This window comes from Homo sapiens, chromosome 11 (genome assembly GCF_000001405.40).
Source record: "Homo sapiens chromosome 11, GRCh38.p14 Primary Assembly".
Lineage (NCBI taxonomy): Eukaryota > Metazoa > Chordata > Mammalia > Primates > Hominidae > Homo > Homo sapiens.
In genome coordinates, this window is record NC_000011.10 from 15,842,947 (window position 1) to 15,862,172 (window position 19,226).

At 41.2% G+C, this 19,226-nt stretch overlaps 2 long non-coding RNA genes across 2 annotated transcripts; both read left to right on the forward strand.

Annotated features, from left to right (window-relative positions):
• Nucleotides 1-798: 798 nt before the first annotated feature.
• LOC107984370 (uncharacterized) lies at nt 799-12,765 on the forward strand. Its single transcript, XR_001748058.2, has 4 exons — nt 799-1,365; nt 1,441-1,537; nt 4,288-4,435; nt 12,663-12,765. It is a non-coding gene; the product is annotated as an uncharacterized LOC107984370 (long non-coding RNA).
• Nucleotides 12,766-14,565: 1,800 nt separating this feature from the next.
• Nucleotides 14,566-17,601, forward strand: LOC124902800 (uncharacterized). The gene is made up of 2 exons (XR_007062963.1): nt 14,566-14,742; nt 15,352-17,601. It is a non-coding gene; the product is annotated as an uncharacterized LOC124902800 (long non-coding RNA).
• The last annotated feature ends 1,625 nt before the right edge of the window (nt 17,602-19,226 follow it).

Here is a 19,226-nt window from a genome sequence, read left to right on the forward strand (position 1 = left end):
AGTTAAGCTCCCTGGGTCTCAACTGCGACATCTATAAAATGGGGTAAAAGGAAAACCCAGTTCATAGACTTGTAATGATTCCTAAATGAGGTAATGAATGAAAGGCACATAACCCCATGCCTGGTACACACACACAGGACATATGGTCTATATTAGCATTAACATTATGCCTAGCACCCCAAGCAGTTGGCACATAAAAGGCACTCAATAAATACAGTACTGTTAAATCAATGAATCTCAACAGACTCACTTAGAAAAAATCACTTCCCAAGGGGACTAAGGAATTGGACATGGAGCCATAGAATGTGAAAATGGGTGGCAGAGACATTTAATAACTTATCAAGTCCTGGGCACCTTGTTTTAAAATAAAAAACCAGTACTGGTCTCTCTCTGGAGTGCCTCGGGAGGTGTCCTGCTCTCCTAACAACCATGGCTGGTGAAGGAAGGGCGAGCAGTCCCAACCCCCGCCAGCAGCCCATGCCCCCCTCCCCTCACCCACTTTTTTGGCAGAGCTCTCTCCTTCCAGCCCTGGTGGTTACATTAATTGCTAATGACAATGGCAACCTTCACTCTGTGTGGTTTCCTGCCCAGATTCTGGATCCTTTACAAGGCTCCCTTTTCTTTTTTCCCAGATAGGAAATGCAACCCGAGACGTGTGAAGAAAAAAACAGTGTGCTTATTGTCATAGCCTCCACTTCTCGGCTGGGCCCGGCTGTGTGTGCTCTGGGGTGCCTGCCCCGCCACAGGGAAGAATAAACCCAGACTCAAATCATAGGAAATTCATCAAATGTGCTTCTCAGAGCTCTGTCTTTCAAGGTCTGTTTCCTTGCCATATGATCTCTATAAACCAAATCACTGTTAGCCAGGGCACAGGACCAGAGGCGCCGGAGGCTCATGGATAATGAATGCCAAATGCATGTGACAATAGACTGATCAGAAAGCAGAATAGAAATTTCTGAGTTGTGCTTTTATATATGTATACACACACAGACAGGCACACACCTATGTGTGTGCACACACTCAAGCACACACACATGCATGCATATCACACACACACACACACACGGGTCAAGCACACAATATATCTTAATGTATAAAGGCCAGTTGTGGTCCTTGGTGCCAGATTCAGATAACTCATCTCTCAGTTACTTTGTCAAGACAAAGAAGCCTGTGGATCAGAAGGATAAAATGGAAGAGGAAAACAAATCAGAACCCCGTTTAGCTGGGGACACTCAATGTGGAGGAGGCACAGATTTGACTTTGAAATTTAGGATGCCTTGCACTCAGCAACTAACACAGGACACAGCACACAAGGGGGCCTCAACTGAAAAATGAAAATCAAGGACTTATTCCTGGGCACCAAAGGTAAGTGGGAGAAATTGCCCTAAACGGAATGAATTATTGTGTGATCTTTTCAATAATGGTTTTGACCCCTCCTAGGTCTGACCAACCCCTTCACTCACTAACCAGTTTCCAGTGTGACCAAGACAGAGAACACAGGACAGAAACTAGCAGGCCACCAGCTGAAGGCAAAAAGGTAATTAATGTTATAGCCTTTTAGATTCTAGAAAATACTGCACTTAAAACTGCAAGTCAACTAAGCGGCTGTCGGCAACCGATAAATGCTTCCATATTCACAGGCATCAGCAGTCTTCCCGTTACAAAAAAAGTAATAATACATACATATTAATGGATCACATTTTGTCCTTTGGGGAGCATAATTTTTAAAAGGGCCAAGGCAGCAATAATAGTTCCTTTAAAAATTCTAAATGCTGTAATTGTTTTCTCTGAATTATGGTGCTAGGATTTAATTAGTGATGAATGTTCGGTATGGGGTTTAGACATTTTTGATGAATTCAGCCAAACAGAAAAGTAGTCTTGTCCTTATTGCTCCCACCCGGGCCCCCGCCCTCTTTTCTTCCTTAGAATCCTGAAATGTGCGTGTGCAAGAGCACATGTCTACGAAGGGATTTTATTTTCTGCAGTTTCACTGTAGCTAAGAAGGAGATTGCCTTAACCACAGTTCAACAAGGAACATGAAACATGGTCAGTGAGGTCATGCAATTCAGCACAAGTTTTGAGGTTTTCTGGTTATAAGGAGGAAAAATAATAAAATGTAAATGGTAGAAATTTCTTTTTGGCGATGTTCTTATCATTAGGAAGAAGTTGCCCATATCTTGGGCCTGGTCTCCTGGGCTTCAAGGGCTCACGGACCAAAGGGCTAAAGGTGTCAGGGGAGAGTGGTAGAGGGCAGAGAGGAAGGACTTTCTTCATTCATTTGACGAATAACCATTTAGCAAGACCTGCTGGGTCCAGGCTCTGAGCTGGGCATTGCACACAGGGCCCTGGCAATGGAGTCCCTGCCTGGGGATAAATACAATTGCTTTGTTCTTCTCCAAACCACTTCTTTGTAAAAGCAGCTGGAGAGAAGCCCAGACCAGCAGCCATCCACACAGGCAGAATCAAGGAGGCCTACATAGCAGGGCCCCTGGGGGCCATGCCTACCCCTCCCATCCACCTTCAGGACTTCTTTCATTTGAGACCTGGAGGCTGCTCCTGGTTCCCAGTATCTTCTATTAACATGCAAATACTCCTGGGAAAGGTCACACCTTGAGACCCCATCAGCTAACCTCTTGCTCACCAGTTACTTCTTAGCAAGGATTAGCAGAAATAGAACACCAAGAGAAGGCCTGGGGGTGAGGGCTGGGGGGAGGTGAGGGCTTATGGGGAGGGAGGTGAAAGACCTTCCTACTGCCAAGATTTTCCTGGACAGTCGAATTGATTTAATGCAATACAATAAATCAATGATATTATTTCAATAAATGTTGATCTTTTTACACTGCAAAACAAACTAAAATCTCATTTGCATACCACCAAAAGTATTACATTTAAATTAATTCGCAAATTAGGTATCATTCTGGGTTCCACCACATGTTCCAGATAGAGTATAGGAACACAGAGTCTTCCCCATTGCCCCGATTGTGCTACAAATAGCAACTGCTTCACAATCTTGCCTAAAGTGTAAAAATGTTGCCCCCATCCCCAAATGGCAGACCCAGGTGGTCAATGGAGGTTTTGTTCACTCTGTCTAGCACCCCTCTTGTTTCTCTCTATCATCTCCCTCCTCAATTCCATTCTTCTTGCCTCCCATCTCAAAACCACCCGCCTCTACCATAGGCTTCTCTAGAGTGCTATTGAGGCCCAGTGGTTTAGCTGCTACAGAGCTTTCATCACGCTTCCCAATGAAGTCCTTAAAATGCCATCCTGGAGAGGGTTCCCGGTTAAAAGCATAGGGTCCTGGATCTGTCAGAAAGACCGGAGTTCAAATTCTGGCTCTGCCATTTTTAGATACTGGAGACAAGTGACTTTCCTCATCAACTGTCTTTTGAGAGGATTAAGTGTAATTATAGTAAGTGCTCAATAAATATTTGTTACTGCTGTTGTTATAACACACTATCTTCTTTATAAAATGAGATTGCAAAATAATGTGCAGGTAATTTTCTTAAAAAGCACCATGGTGAGTATGTCACCAGTTATTCCCTTAAGGAAATGTTTACTTTTTTAAACATTTTTGTCATGGATCATAATTGTTATTTATTTTTTTTTATTCATTCAACGTTTAGCATAAGCCTACTATGTGCAACACACTGAGGTAGGTACTTAGGACACAGAGATGGGTAAGCCTGATCCCTGGCTTCTGGGAACTCACATCTAATGGGTAAAAACAGAGTGAGAAGTAACAGATATCCATAAAAAGCTATGAGAGGCTGGGCGCAGTGGCTCACGCCTGTAATCCCAACACTTTGGGAGGCCGAGGCGAGTGGATCACGAGGTCAGGAATTCAAGACCAGCCTGGCCAAGATGGTGACACCCTGTCTCTACTAAAAATACAAAAAAAAAAAAAAATTAGCTGGGCGTGGTGGCAGGCGCCTGTAATCCCACCTACTCAGGAGGCTGATGCAGGAGAATCGCTTGAACTCAGAGGGCAGAGGTTGCAGTGAGCCGAGATCATGCCACTGCACTCCAGCCTGGGCAACAGAGTGAGACATTGTCTCAAAAAAAAAAAAAGCTATGAGAAAACTCTGTCATTAAAGAACCCACTGTCTGGGGATAGTTGGTACAACATCCAGAGAGGTATTTGAGCTGAATATTAAAGAAGAAGAAGAATATTAATATTTATTGCAATTTATTGGGACTGTTCTGTGTGCCAATCACCGAGTAGTGGTTTATCATTTTACTGGAGTCTACATAATAACTACATAAGGTGAATACTTTGTCATTTTGCAGGTGAGGACACTGAGTCTTAGGGAGGTTAAGAGAAGTGCCTATAATATTTCTGTTGGTATATCAAAATAATTGAGATTTCAACCCAGATCAGCGTGGTTCTGAAGGCCATACTCTTCCTTGCAAACAAATGGGCCAATCAGCGACTCAGGTGAGAAAAAGAAAAAAAAAATTGTCCTGTGACTTACAGGCATGTCTTCACGGTTTTTTTAAATGTAATATTTGATACATACAAAATAAATTGTTGATGCATTTAAGTTTCTATATTTGGATATATAAATGTATATTTATTTTTAAAAAATTATATGTACATAATATGTATACATGTATGATTATTTTTTAGATGAATAGCTTGTCAGGCATTTTGATACATAGAAGAAGAGGGTTATATCTGTACCAAATATGATAATATTTTTATACATATTGGTAACCTTCTTTCTCACTTAACAACAGTCAAGAATGTATTTTTGATGTCAGCAAATCTATGTCTATATCATCCTTATTAATCCTGTTACATGTTCTTTGAATGGATAGATACCATCATTTATTTAACCTATTCTCTCTTCAAACATTTAGCTTCATTTCAATTTTTAAAATTGTCATGAATAACGTTGTGATGATCATCCTTTGCACAAATGCCTTTGCCTATTTATCTAATCATTCTCTTAAGATAAATTTTTGGAAGGGAAATTGCTGGGTCAAATGTTTAAGATCATTGATGTGTTTTGCCACATTGTGGCAAATGTGAAATGTATTTGAAATGTATTTGCACATTTCATCATGTGCAAATTTATACTTTCATTAACAGTTTATGAAGGTGGCCTGACATTTTGGCTTTTGTTTTATATTGCTATGTTTCTTTTTTTTTAATCTTACTGATAAAAAGGATTTAAAGTCCTTTAAGTCTGAAGGCTAAGAACCCTTTGTCTTTCACACATTCTATAGTGTATTTGCCATACAGAAATATTTCATTTTTATATAGTAAAATGTATATGTTTTTTATGGTTTCAGCTGCTGATGCAATATTTAGGAAAACTTTCCCTAATCGTGATCATAAATTTCCCTTTAGATATTTTTGTGGCCTCAGTTTTTACATTTTATTTTTTAATTAATTCAGAATTTAATGGTGTAAGGTAGGAAGAAAAAATCCAAATTAATATGTTTTCGGGTACCATCTTTTGCCCATCTCTCCACAAATGAGATATTACTTCTATTATATACCACATAATAGCATGGAGGAGTGTTCTGTTATTTTCTGCTGATCCATTCATCTATTTTTTTCACAGAATTATGCTATTTTAATTATTACTGCTCTATAGTATATTTAATGTCTAGCAGGGCTAGCCTCTTCTCATGGTTTTTTTTTTCAATAATTTTAATATAGTCTTTTCCATTTTTTTAGTTCCAGAAATGAGGTTATGAGGTAGAGGATAACTTTTGAAAGTATGACAGTAATATGCATGACAAGGGGTGTTGTGGTTTTTAAAAAAATAAAATCAATCTCATAATTTCATAGCCACACTCAGTTCATTTCCATGAATGATGTGATTCTGGCACTTAGAGTCTGGCATGCTCTATCTATCACTAAACTTACTATATTCTGTTTGCCAAGGACCTTGGCAGGAGCCTTTGTTCATTCTGTCTACATGGAAAGCCAATATAGCATCATAGTAGGAGTGTAAGATCTAGCTGTGTGACCTTGGGCAAGCTATTGTACCTCTCTGAGCCTTGGTGTCCACATTTGTAATAGGAGAGTAACAACACACTTCCTCATAATATGTGAGCTATTACAGATGGAAGGCATTTAGAAGGGTGCCTAGCACAGAGTCAATGAACATTAAATACTCAGTGTACATTAACTAGTGTCATTGTGTACCAGTGGTCTTGTCACTACAGGAGTTTGCTGACTCGGAAGGGGAAGATTGAAGGAAAGACGTTAAATCAGGAAATATGGGTTAAATAAAATGAAATTTCACAAGCCTTTGCATATGTTTTTATGACTGAGAAATTATTGTTAAGTTGTTATTTCTCATGGCATCCAGGGTGCTAGGTCTTTAAAGCAAGCTGTGGCCTGGCTACAGAGGGGCCATGTAGTGTCAGGGCACACCTTCCACATGAGGACCCTGAACAAGCCAGTTCATCTAAACTTACCGCAGATTTTACATAGCACTGTCACTTTGACCTTTGACAATCTAGTCAGCTGAGAGCTCAGATTTGCTGTCAGACTTCAGTTCTCCCTCCCGCCTCTGCTCAGAGCAGATCTCTGCTGCTGTCAGCTGAGAGTCCGAGTATGGGTACTGAGCTCGGCAGTCAGACTGCTCTGAATTAAAAGCCCAGCTCTGCCACAAACCACTTCTGTTTTGGTCCTTTCTGAAGTTTTCTTCAACTGAATAATGAGTATGTTATGCCTTCCCTGCCAGTTTACCATGAGGATTAGGTGAGAATAATATACAGGAAAGCATTTTATAGAATGCCAGGCATACAGTAGGTGCTCAGTAAATGTCATTGTATCAGTAAGGAATGTTTGATTCTAAGTAACAGAAAATCAAATCCAAACTAGCTTATACAGTGAAGAAAAATTATTGGTTCTATAATTGGAGATCCAAGAAAAGGCTGGAATTCAGGAGTAGTTCAATTCAGTTGCCTAACCATGTCACCTAGAATTTGTTTGTCTATTCATTTATTTGTTTCCTCTCTTTTCACCCTGCTCATCATATATTCAGTTTCTCTCTAAAGCTCTCCCTGTCTCATAGTTCCAAAATGTGAGCAGGTATCCAAGGAGAACAAAATAGGACCACACCCAGATATTTCCCCAGATGAGTTAGAAAAAGCTCTCCCAGAAACCCCCAGCAAATTTCTTTTCTTGTAATTCAACAGCCAGAATTGGGTCATGGCCAGTCCCTGAACCAATAATGATGACCAGAAGAGAGATTATGCACATTCCCTGGTCTGAACCACAAGCCCTAGATATAGAGTCACATTTTTACCAGTGCAAGAACTATGTCGAGACAGAAAGATGGAAACTGAACCAAAAATCAGAGTAATTACAGAAAGAAGGGGGAATGGATATAAGGAAAAGAACTATAATGTCCACTCCTTGTTTCCCCAATCCCCAGCAGAATACAGATGAGTGGATGGACAAGTCCTCACTGAAACTTGAGACCTCAAACTTTTGATTGGATACTGGATCAATGAAGGGGGGAATGCTCAAACCACCATGTAGTGACTAAAAATATGCTTCCTAAACAATAACAGGGAATATAGCAATAATAATAATGTACATAGTTTTAAAATATTTATGCCTTTTTATTTTTATTTTTATTTTTTATTTTATTTTATTATTATTATACTTTAAATTTCAGGGTACATGTGCACAATGTGCAGGTTTGTTACATATGTATACAGGTGCCATGTTGGTGTGCTGCACCCATTAACTGGTCATTTAGCATTAGGTATATCTCCTAATGCTATCCCTCCCCCCTCCCCCCACCCCACAACAGTCCCGGGTGTGTGATGTTCCCCTTCCTGTGTCCATGTGTTCTATGCCTTTTTAAAGATCAAAAATAGCTTTATTCAAAACCACTTAAGAAGTAACTATTTGGATCTATGCTGAAGGCCAAATATCAAGTCATAGGCACACTTTTTTTTTTTTCTCTTCAATTCCTTCTGGCCCTGGGACCTTTCTCTTTCAGTTGTTCCCTTTCTCTCTGCTTCTCCTCCTGCTTCCCTTTCTCTCTCTGTTTAGATTTTATTAGCCTCAAGTACCTGGGAAGAAATCTGGAGTGAGAGGGACAGAGGTGCCCCACAATGTGGGGCCCAAGACCTGAGTGGCCCCAAGTGAATCCTCAGCCCATTGCCCACTGCAGAGGAAAACTTAGTCTCCCCAAAAGGTTGAATGGCCGAGCCCTTCATGCCTCTGGGTTGCTAAGCAACAAACACTTCAAGTTTGGAAATCTTTATCCACACCGGATATATTATCCTGGCAAATTGGACTTTCAGATCTGGCAGCAATGGAAAGAGTAACTTTTTTAAAAATAGAGACAATTTAGATGATTTCAAAGACATCTGGTCTCTTTTTCCAGCAATGTCTGACTCTTCTCTTTCACTAAGCATATTGGATCCAAACACTTCACATGTACAAAAGCACAAGGTCCCCGAAGAAAGAAGTGTTTCAGTCGCAAAAAGCCGACTCACAGAAAGTGCTGCCAGTTGGAAAGGCCTAGAACTGACTAAGGCAACAGCAGCAGGGCATATGTTCTAGTTTCCTCCCTCTATTTGACCCTTCTTTTAACCTGGTTTCTTCCAAGTGCCCCTTCCCTCTCACTCTGATCCTCTCTGGTACTAATTCTCTTTCCCACCCTCTGTCTTGCATTCCCTCTTCTCCTTTCTCTTTTCCTCACTCCCACCTTTCTCCCAGCAAACTTCCATCCAGTTTTCTTTCTCTCTATCCTTCCTTCCCCAAGTTAGAGAAAACACAAGGACAAGAGTCAACACAATGACACGGGCCAGGATCCTGGGTCTTCTTCCTGCTTCTTCGGTGGGGGATGGAGTTGGTTGTTCATTCCTCCTTCACTCCTAAACAGTCCACAGGAGTGAACTTGTGGTTGAGGTAATCTCAGGGCACATTCTCCCTCCGCTGTGTCCTTTAAAAAAAAATTGAAGACAAACCCAAACACCAAATAGCTCCTCCACCTGCTTGCTAATGTCTAGAATTCCTCCAACAGAGGACATTACATTCCAGAATTAAAGACCAAGTTTCAAACATAAATAATAAACAACTCACATCTGGGCAGCTCTTAATAGTTTTGAAAACACGTCCAGCTGTTTCTCACAAATTCCCTCATTTGACCCCCACAATAATCTAGAGATGGAAGCATTATCATTGCTATCATCTCCATTTCAAAATGAGAAACCTGAGGCTTAGTTTAAGTACCTTTTCTGAAGTTACTTAAGGTGTAACCCAGATCCATCTGACTCTAACGTCCACATTTTTCTCCATGCCACTTACTTCTCCAAGAGGGAACCGTAGTGACTTGGCATGATGAGAAGCCTTCCCTAAGTTCTTCAGACCCCAGATTCCCCCTTGATCTCTACCTCTCTGAAATCCTTGACTTGTGATTATTGCTGTTGAAACCTGTCAGTGGGGTATGCTGCCACCAGATGGCAGATGACACTCTGGTTTCATGGAGAGCTCCAGACTTTTACCATAACTAAAAATGGGAGTCAAGTGTTTTTCCATATTTTTATCTCCTTATAATCAAAATTATAGTTCACTAAAAAATAGCCAAACAGCATTCCACATCTACAAAGATGAAGATGACGTGAAGCAAAAATATATACAGTTGTCCCTCGGCATTCTGGGGAATTGGTTCTAAGACCCCCTACGAATATCAAAATCTATAGATGCTCAAGTTTCTTACATAAAATGATGTGACATTTGAATATAACCCATGCGCATCCTCCTGTATATTTTAAATCATCTGTGGATTACTTATAATACCTAATACCATGTAAATGCTATGTAAATAATTGTTACACTGTAATGTTTAGGGAATAATGACAAGGGCAGTCTGTAGATGTTCAATACAGACACAACTATCCATTTTTAAAAATATTTTTTATCCGTGGTTGGTTGACTCCACAGATACAGAAACTATGGATATGGAGGGCTGACTGTATTTAAAGGAATAAATTTACATGATATACTTATTTGATAAATTTGATAAATATATTTATTCGAGAAACATACATGATGTATTTATATACATGATATACATACACCATATATTATATATATAATGGACCTTGACTATTAACAAGCCTAACTCATTCACAGTCTACATCAAGTTTCTGAGATATTGGCAAAGGCATTTTAGGGTTATTGCCTTCTTATCCTGGCCACTCACTTCCCTAAATACTAGCCCAACTGGAGAAGACAGAATGGTTCTCAAACTTTAGTGAACATCAGAATCACCCGGAGGGCTTTGTTAAAGCACACATTTCCACATCGCAACTCCTGAGTTTCTGATTCAGTAGGTCTCAAGTGGGGCCTGAGAATATGCATTTCTAACAAATTCCCAGGTGATGCTGATGCCACCAATCTAGGGACCACATTTGGAAAAGCACTGGGCTAAGGCAAGACACCCTGTTTGACTGTCGTAAGTTCCCCCTTTTCCCTTGCCTCTTACCAAGAGTGTGGAGAAGAGAGATTGAGCTCCATGGCCTCCTGGCCAGAATCTGGGGTCTTACTGTGAATGACTAACCAACAGCCTCAAATGCTGTGGCTGGCACAAATTAACTTTGGGTCACTTTCAGTACATATTTCTGCCATTCATTGCCACCTTCTGATCAGATGTTCTCTGATATCAATGCCTATCAGCAGATCATTAACTATACCGACAGGAAATGCTAACATCTATTAAAGCTGTCAGCACTGAGGTAAGCAATGCTTTAATTAGCTCATCTAATTGTCGTAATAATTAATTGAGAAAGACAATATTATTAACCCCCTTTTACAGATGAGAAAACAGAGGATCAAGATTACAAACCCAGTACATTGCAGAGCCTGGACTAAATACCAGCTTTTGTCTATCTTCAGAAGATAAGCTCTCAGCTTTTAGATACTGACTCTTAAGTTTCCAATGTGGATACTAAAAGTTAGATTCCTGCCTCCTCAAGTCAGTTTCTTCAGGCTCCTGTGGCTTCCGTTTTCCCAGCCTTCTCATTTTCCCTACTGGTCTCTGTCTATGCCCACCAACCAGTCAGGACATCTCATGTAGTCTCTGTCTAAATCCTCTGCCTTAGTCCACCATACTGGATGAAGAGGGGAAACATTTAGAAATGAAGGTCCCAAGGTTTCCCAGAGTCTTAGGCAGCAAAGATAAGTTTGACTGTATTCCCCAGATGATACTTTCTATGGCAGAGAAATGGAATCAGATACCTTATAATGAGCTCTAACAGATGTTATGTTGGTGAGTTGAAGCAGCATTCCTAAAAATCTGTCCCATTTAGAAACAAACTATGCAGACTTAGTATGAAAGAAGAAAGAAAGAGAAAAGAGAAAAAAGAGAAAGGAAGGGAAGAGAGAGAGGAAGGAAGGAAGAGAGGAAGGAAGGAAGGAGGGAAGGAAGGAAGGAGGGAGGGAAGGGAAGGAAGGAAGGAGGGAAGGAAGGAGAGAAGGAAGGAGGGAAGGAAGGGAAGGAAGGAAGGAGGGAAGGAAGGAGAGAAGGAAGGAGGGAAGGAAGGGAAGAAGGAAGGAAGGAAGGAGGGGAGGGAAGGAAGAGGGAAGAAGAGAAGTAGGGAGGAAGGAAGGAAGAGGGAAACAAAGAACTAACATAGGAGAAAACACAGCAAAAGAACAAAAGGAAATTCTTCACAATTATTTTATGTTTTATAATATCTTAATAAGCATATAAATTCAGGAACATAAGGGCTGAAAGACAAGACAATGAGATTAAAAAGAAAAAAGGAGATTGAGGATCTAAGGAAACAAATTGAGGACCCACACCACATCATTACAAAACTAATGCAAAAATTAGAGATAACAAGGAACAGGTATATTCCACTGAAAATAAATTATTTACATGGATGAGAGTCTGAGATAATCACAGTAAAGGTAGATTAAAACAAAAACATTAGAGAAAGTACAAAGAAGCTAATAGATTTTTTAAAACACCTAATAAAGAAGTATGCAAATCCAAAAGTAAAATTTTAACAATCATCTAAATAAAGAAAAAAAATTGAATATGCAAGTTGAAAGACATACCATGTTCCAGGAAAATTTAATGCAGACAGTTCAAGATAGATACATACAAGTTAGTTAAATAATGGCACTTTGAACATTCATACAGTCAGGAAAAGCACATCATTATAAGGGGTTCAAATCAGGCTTGCCCTAGCCTCTCCCACAGCAACATTTCATGCCAAAAGACAGTGTTCACAATGTCTAAGGGAAAGAAAGTGCACCCAGGATATTATGGCCATACAAGAATGGTATTAAATAAAAAAGCAATGAACTTTCTCAGACATGAAAAACCAGGAATACAGCACCCATGAGCCCTTCTTGAACAAAACTATGTGACAATAATATTCAGCCAGTTAAGAAATAAAGAAAAGAAATAAACTTAGGAATTGAAATATCATGAAAAAGCACTAGTGGTAGGTAACAAATCTATTTCCTGAATTAAACAATACCTCTCTATGAAGCCTGCTCCATCTGCCTTATTTACTATGGCAGAGTGTGCCCCACCTTTCTCCAGCATTCGTGGTCTACCTTACTTTGCTTTACTTTTGGCTTTGGTTCTAAAGAATGGCACCCTATATTTTACTTTTTTGTTTGTTTTTTGTTTTGTTTTGTTTTGTTACCTTCTGCCCCATAGAAGTTAATCGGGGGAGCTGGGATTAAACACTTGCATGAAATATGGAAACTATTCTAGTCATGGAGCAGAGCCTGGGAGCCATACATCTGAACAGTGTAAAAATAACAAGGTAACTAACAAGACTTAAGTTTTGTTGGGAAGGGAGCTGGAAGAAATCTGAGCACTAATGCCCTTATCTTTCACAGCCCAAACACAACTGATACTAAAATTGAACCATGTAGTTTCAGAAGAAATGATGACTGCCACCTTTTGATGTTTTAGATAATCATTTAATTAACCTGAGAAGATTTTTCAAAAAATACTATGCTACAGTAAAGAAAAATTTATTCAACAATTTCTATAGTTTTACTTTGGTATATTTTTTTCTGTTGTATTCCAGTAAATTTAAAGTTAATACTTCATATTTTAAGATAGCATTTACAGTTATGATCTCATTTTTATTAAAGTGTTTTTAGATACGTATGTGTATGAATACAAAAACAATAGTGATGATGTTTATTTATTCTTAAGGAGAGCTATTTCTGAGTAGTAGTATTTGGGTTAATTTTACTACATTCATGTTTCAACTTTTTTCTATTAATTATTTTTCATGAGCATAAACCTTTTTTCAAATATAGTAGAATGGTCAGTCTTTGTTTTAAAAAAAGGAAAAAAAATGACTGGGAACATATATGTCAAGATATTGATGTAGATATAGATGTGTTAGTGCACATGTTGGAAGTGATAGAACTTGAGCCTTAACCTTCGGTTAACTTGCATTTCTTTCTGCTACCAAAACTCCCTCTTGGACTTGCAATATGAAGTGAAGAAAACTAACGCTAACTGGAGAACCCACTAGGTGCTTTTCCATGAACTTTTGGTTGCCCCTAGTGTAGGAATAATTTCACTATTTTAGAGGACAAATTTGAGACTCACATAGGTTGTGATTTGCCTAGTTTTGTACAGTAGGAGAGATGATAATAATAATAATGTAGTGAGTACTCTATGGAGAATCTCTCTTGGTCCATTACAGCAGCATGTAATGCCTGTCATTTTTATTTATTTTTAAAATGTGGTCCAGAGAGATGACTTATATTGTCAAATGTCCCACAGCTAGAAAGTGGCAGTGCCAGGACTAGAACTCAGGTCTGTCTCAGACTCAAGCCCATGCTGCTCTCTCTACTATGCTCTCACCAGGCTGGGGAAGAGGAGTGGCCATGCTGACCACCCATAGGGTCTCAGAGTGATTGCAATTTGGCTGCTTGGACCCTGCCAGAGAGCCTCAGAATTTCAATGTATTCAGAGCTAGGAGATCTGTGGGTTGCCTCAGTCATGAATCTTCCTGTCCCCTCCTAGATGTCCCTGCTGAGCTGAACAGGCAACATGGCAGCTCTGATGATTTCCCAGGGTAGATCCAGGGCCAGTCCCCTGGGATCTCAGGCCCCATCTCAGCAAGCATTTACTAGGTGGCTCTGATACAAACACCCAGCCAAGAAATAGTCCCAAATAATGGCCAGGTGAGTGTAGACCATAGCTCCATCCAATGGGTGTCAGGAGATCTGGATTTCCATCCGTCTTCTGCCGTCTCTTTGTGGTGTGACCCTCAGGAAGTCACTTGATGTCTCTGAGCCTCATTTTCCTTCTCAGCAAAATGAAAGAGTTTTACTACTGGACAGCTTTCAAAGTTCCCAGCTCAATATTTCTATGATTTAGTCAGAGAATGAGGGTCTCTCTTCGTAGAATCTGGGTGGTTGGTGGCGGGGTTCTCTTTGAGAAGGTATATAGCAGCCGGGGAGGGAACCAAGTCAGCAAGGAGGAGAGGGCTGGGATTACCCCCCAGACAGAAAGGAGCAACTTCAAGGAGGTGGGCCCTCAAGGCCGTGGGAAGGGGTCTTCAACACAGACCTTTTCTTTCCTCCATCAGGTGGGTCTTGGCAGCTGGGATGCAGGCGTGCATGGACCACAGACCTTTAGGAGATTATCTGCTAATCATGGCCTGGACATGAGCACTCAAGAGGTGTTGCCTGAAGAATGAGATGCTTTTTTATGATGCAGTAAAAGAGAGGAAATCGCCTTGGCCTCTTGCCTTGTCCTGTGCTAAGTAAGCGGGCAACCTGAGCCCAGCCTCCCATTGGCAAAGGCTCTGAGAGCTCAGAATTTCCACCAGGGGCTGCCATTTCATAAGGAGGCTGTGGGGGGTGGGGGGGCGGAGTGGGGGCAAGAGAGACAGGCCCTGTCTCCAGACATTCAGGAGAGGCCGAGGATTGCTAAAACGACACTGAAAGTTTAGAAGAGCTAGGGTCACACACTCTACATTAGCAACATTATATTCTCACAACCGGAGAGTAAATCACTGGCCCCATTTAGGGAAAGAATTTCCCTCTAAATGCTACTATTGGAATAATCAATTATATCATCTCTGAAAAGTAGCCCATGCCCAGAACCAACTCTCCTCCCACTGACAACTCCCATTCACTTTCAGGATATCTAGTGATAATTTTCCCTCCAAAGATAAAACAGTGAGTTCTGCCAGTATTTCCCAACTGTCAGCCAGGAACTGTGTTGAGCACCTTAGCACTCGTAAGAGTTAACGCAGTGAGCCAACATGGATCCGGTAGCTTTACATGCATTAACTTATTTAGTCCTTACAACAATGCAGATTCAGTCAAATAAAAAACAAAGTTAATATTGTTATTCCCCCCATTCACAGATGGGGACACCAGGTACCAGAAATATTAAGATGCTCAAGGTCATACATACAACTGGTAAGTAGCAGAGTCAGGAATCAACTTCAGGCTGGTTTATGCTTTTAACCACCGCACATCTGCCTCTCATCATTTATCATTGTAAAGGTAGGTATCTTGGTTCTCCCTCCTTCCAACACCATGCTTCCTCTTAACACATGTAGGAAGACCCTTTTGCCTTTATTTCACTCTCTCCCAGGCTCCTTCCCATGGGAGGGATGGCTTATTGGTGGGTGCCATGGCAAGAATGTGAAATTCATTGGTCCATCCCCTTACAATAGATGGAGGTGATGGGTGGCTTCCCTCGGTGCTGTTGAGTCTCTGCAATTGTCAGGCTGAGGAGCTCTGTGATCCTCCATTCAAGTGGCTCCATGAGGATCTGTCCTGCAGACCCAAGCCCTCCTTCAATCAGGCCCCATCTAGACTAGAAAGGCAGGTTTTGACTCTCATTCTGGTGCTAGTTGTGTTCACCCTCCTTCTTTGCTGATAGGACCCCCAATATTGCATCTCAACTCCTAGGTCTATTTCTCAGAATCTGGATGGGAAAAGCAGAAACCAGTTAGCTCTGCAATGCACCAACAACTTCCATCTCAAGAGTTCAAGCCCCATTCCTGGGCGACTCCATGAAGTCTGTCCTTCCGTCAGGTTCCCATGCCCTAGTATTCCCCAAAGGCCAAGAGAAATGTTTTTACCAATGTGTCCCGCATGATCCCTGCTCAGCCAGCCCCTTGCTCAGGGCACTGTCCACTCCTGGGTTCAGTCCAGCTGTTTCTTAACTCCAGCCTCACACTATACAGATGCATTCTCTCCAGAGCCCTTTGCCCCCAAGTCTAGACTTTAGTTCTGACTTAATTCTTCAACACTTAGTAAGAACAGGCAGAACTAAATGTTTAGCAGAATCTTGGTGAGGAATTGAGAATAATCAGAAAACAAAACATGGATAAAGGAAAAAGAAAGAAACTTCAACTGAATACTAGGTATTATGGCTCCTAATAAGCCCCCATGAGGAAACCCTCTGGTCCCTCTTTCCTTAGACTCCCGTATCCTTGCCTGTTGCCATATTACAGGGGGCCCCCTACCATGAAGGGCCTCTGGCCATGTGCTTCTATTTTGAAATATACCTTTCAAAACTTTTTGGGAGCTCAAAGAAAAAGGGGAAAAACTCCCCACCTCCAGTGCCCTCATCTGTCCTCCCATCAGTGTCCAATTCACCCTCTGGCATGCCTCACCACCCAGGCACCTCAACTGTCCTCCTGAACCAGCAAGGAGAAACAAACAAAGAACACCAATGTTTTCCGCCATGCCAGCCAATTCCCACGCTGGCAGCAGTCCAGCAAATTGTCTTCTCAGTTGGCATTTCCCAGGCAAAGCAGTTTATCTTCTCATCATCTCAACCTCACTATTTGAGAAACAGGAGCTGGGCATCACTTTTGTATAACCCAAAAGTCCATCAAAAGGCTTATCCAAGACCAAAGCGCAGACTTCCTGCAAAAATGACTACTCGTGGGAGCAATGGGAAAGATTGCTGGTAGATTTTTTTAAAGGAGTTTGTTTCTGCTACACATGATGCCAAGACACCCAAAAAGGGGCTCTCTGCTTTCTGAAGTTATCATTTTCCTCATTTTGCAGAAGAGGAATCCAAGGTTTAGACAATTTAAACAATGTATCCATGATATCCTTGCCAATAACTGTTGAAGTAGCTAATAGACACAAAATCAGTCAGAATTCTCACCACCAAACTCTGCTTGGAAGAGACAAATCACAAGTTGCAGACTTGATGAGAGCCTGGATGAGTCCTGTCCCCTCAGGAGAGTACGGAGTGGAAGAGGTGGTGTCTGAGGGCTGTCTGATGGGGTGGCCTCCAGGACTGTGATTCTGTGCCTGTAGTGGAGTGTGTCCCTTTCACTCCTTGAAGACAAAGCCCTTCCATACCAAGATGTCCATAGTCTGCAGTTATTCACCTGACTCAGGTGAATTCTGTCCTGTTATTGGAGTCAAAGATGAAGGGCCGATGATCTCAAGTTCATCATTTTGAATTCAGAACCCATCTTTGCCAGAGAAGCCTCAAAGGCAGCTGCTGCCTAAGATTTCTAGTGCTTTTGTGCAAAATTCAATCTGTTCCCTAGGAAGAGGGACAAGGGAGAGCAAGATACAGAGCTTGATTTTTTTAAAGGAAAAATTAAGAATAAAGAGATGTTTTTGGGTGACATAGAAAACATGGGAAACATGGCATTTTTGCTTAGGTCCAACAAGGTGCATTTCACTCCTCACACTATTATGTCACCAGCATCTCCCACCTACACCTCTCTTGACCTCTATTCCCATCTTCCTCCCAGCCCATGAAGCACACCACTTTCCCAGCCATGTCAAACCTTTCTTCCTTCCTTCCTTTCCTCCCTTCCTTCCTTCCTTTCCTTTTCTTTCTTTTCTTTCTTTCTTTCTCTTTCTTTCTTTCTTTTTCTCTTTCTTTCTTTTCTTTCTTTCTTTCTTCTTTCCTCCTTTCTTTTTCTTTCTTTCTTTCTTTCTATCCTTCTTTCTTTCTTACTTTCTCTTCCTTCCTTCTTTCTATTTTTTCTTTTTCTTTCTTTCTTTTTTTTTTTTTTTGAGACGGAGTCTTGCACTGTAGCTCAGGCTAGAGTGCAGTGGCGCCATCTCGGCTCACTGTAACCTCCGCCGCCTGGGTTCAAGCTATCTCCTGCCTCAGCCCCTTGAGTAGCTGGGATTATAGGCGCCCGCCACCACGCCCGGCTAATTTTTTTGTATTTTTAGTAGAGACGTGTTTTCACTATGTTACCCAGGCTGGTCTCAAACTCCTGACCTTGTTCTCTGCCCACCTCAGCCTCCCAAAGTGCTGGGATTACAGGTGTGAGCCACCACACCTGGCCCAAACCTCTCTTTCAAGATGTTTTTTCCTGGTCACTTTTCTCATTGCCTGAAATACCCTTCCTTCTCTGCAAAGTGGTTAATTCTCATTTGTATTCCAAAGGTCAGGTAGGCTCAGTATCACCTCCTCCAGGAACCTTCCCTAATGCATCCTTTTTTCTGGGTCCCATTGCACTCCATGCCCACACATCCCTCTACCACAGCGCCCCTATGTCACACTGCCATTCTATCTATATTGGCCCATGCAATCTTAGAATGCACTATTAATAGTTTGAAATCTATCATCAAACGTGTCTGAGCCAAGTCCAACTCATGAGGACATATTTTTTAAATGTCATAGGCCCCAATATTAAAATAACTTCTCCAATTGCTTTCCAATTCTATTCTTCCCATCACTGTCATGACCTACATCTAAAGGAGAGATGGAAAAGACATTGTTATGTCCACTGATCCTGTAACTTAACTTCCCTTAGTACCCAGATAGGTTGTTATCCTTATGACCCCATGCCATGCACCAACCATCCTGAATTACCTAAAGCATGTTTATATAAATGTATGTATATATGTATGTATTTAATAACTGCAATGGCCTGGCACTGACCAATCAGAACTGGTGCTGGCCTATCAAGCGATGTCTTGGGACCCTGATGCACCAAAGGTATCAGGTGTGGCAGGTGATGAGGAGGGATCTGGCGCACATCACGGGGACTGTTTAATTTACTTAACTGGTATGGAAATATTACAATGTTTTAACCAGAATTCATCAGAAATGAGAGCCTTAGAGATGTTATGAACCAGAAAGGGGCCTAGATACTTACCTATTCTCATTATTGTTCACTGAGGCTCCAACTGGCCCCAAGCTAAGATACCCACAGACCTGTAGAATACACGGCAAATTTTCAAACTGTTTTCTGTTTTGCCTTGAGGAGGTAGTGTAAGAGGAGTGGGAGTAAGATCA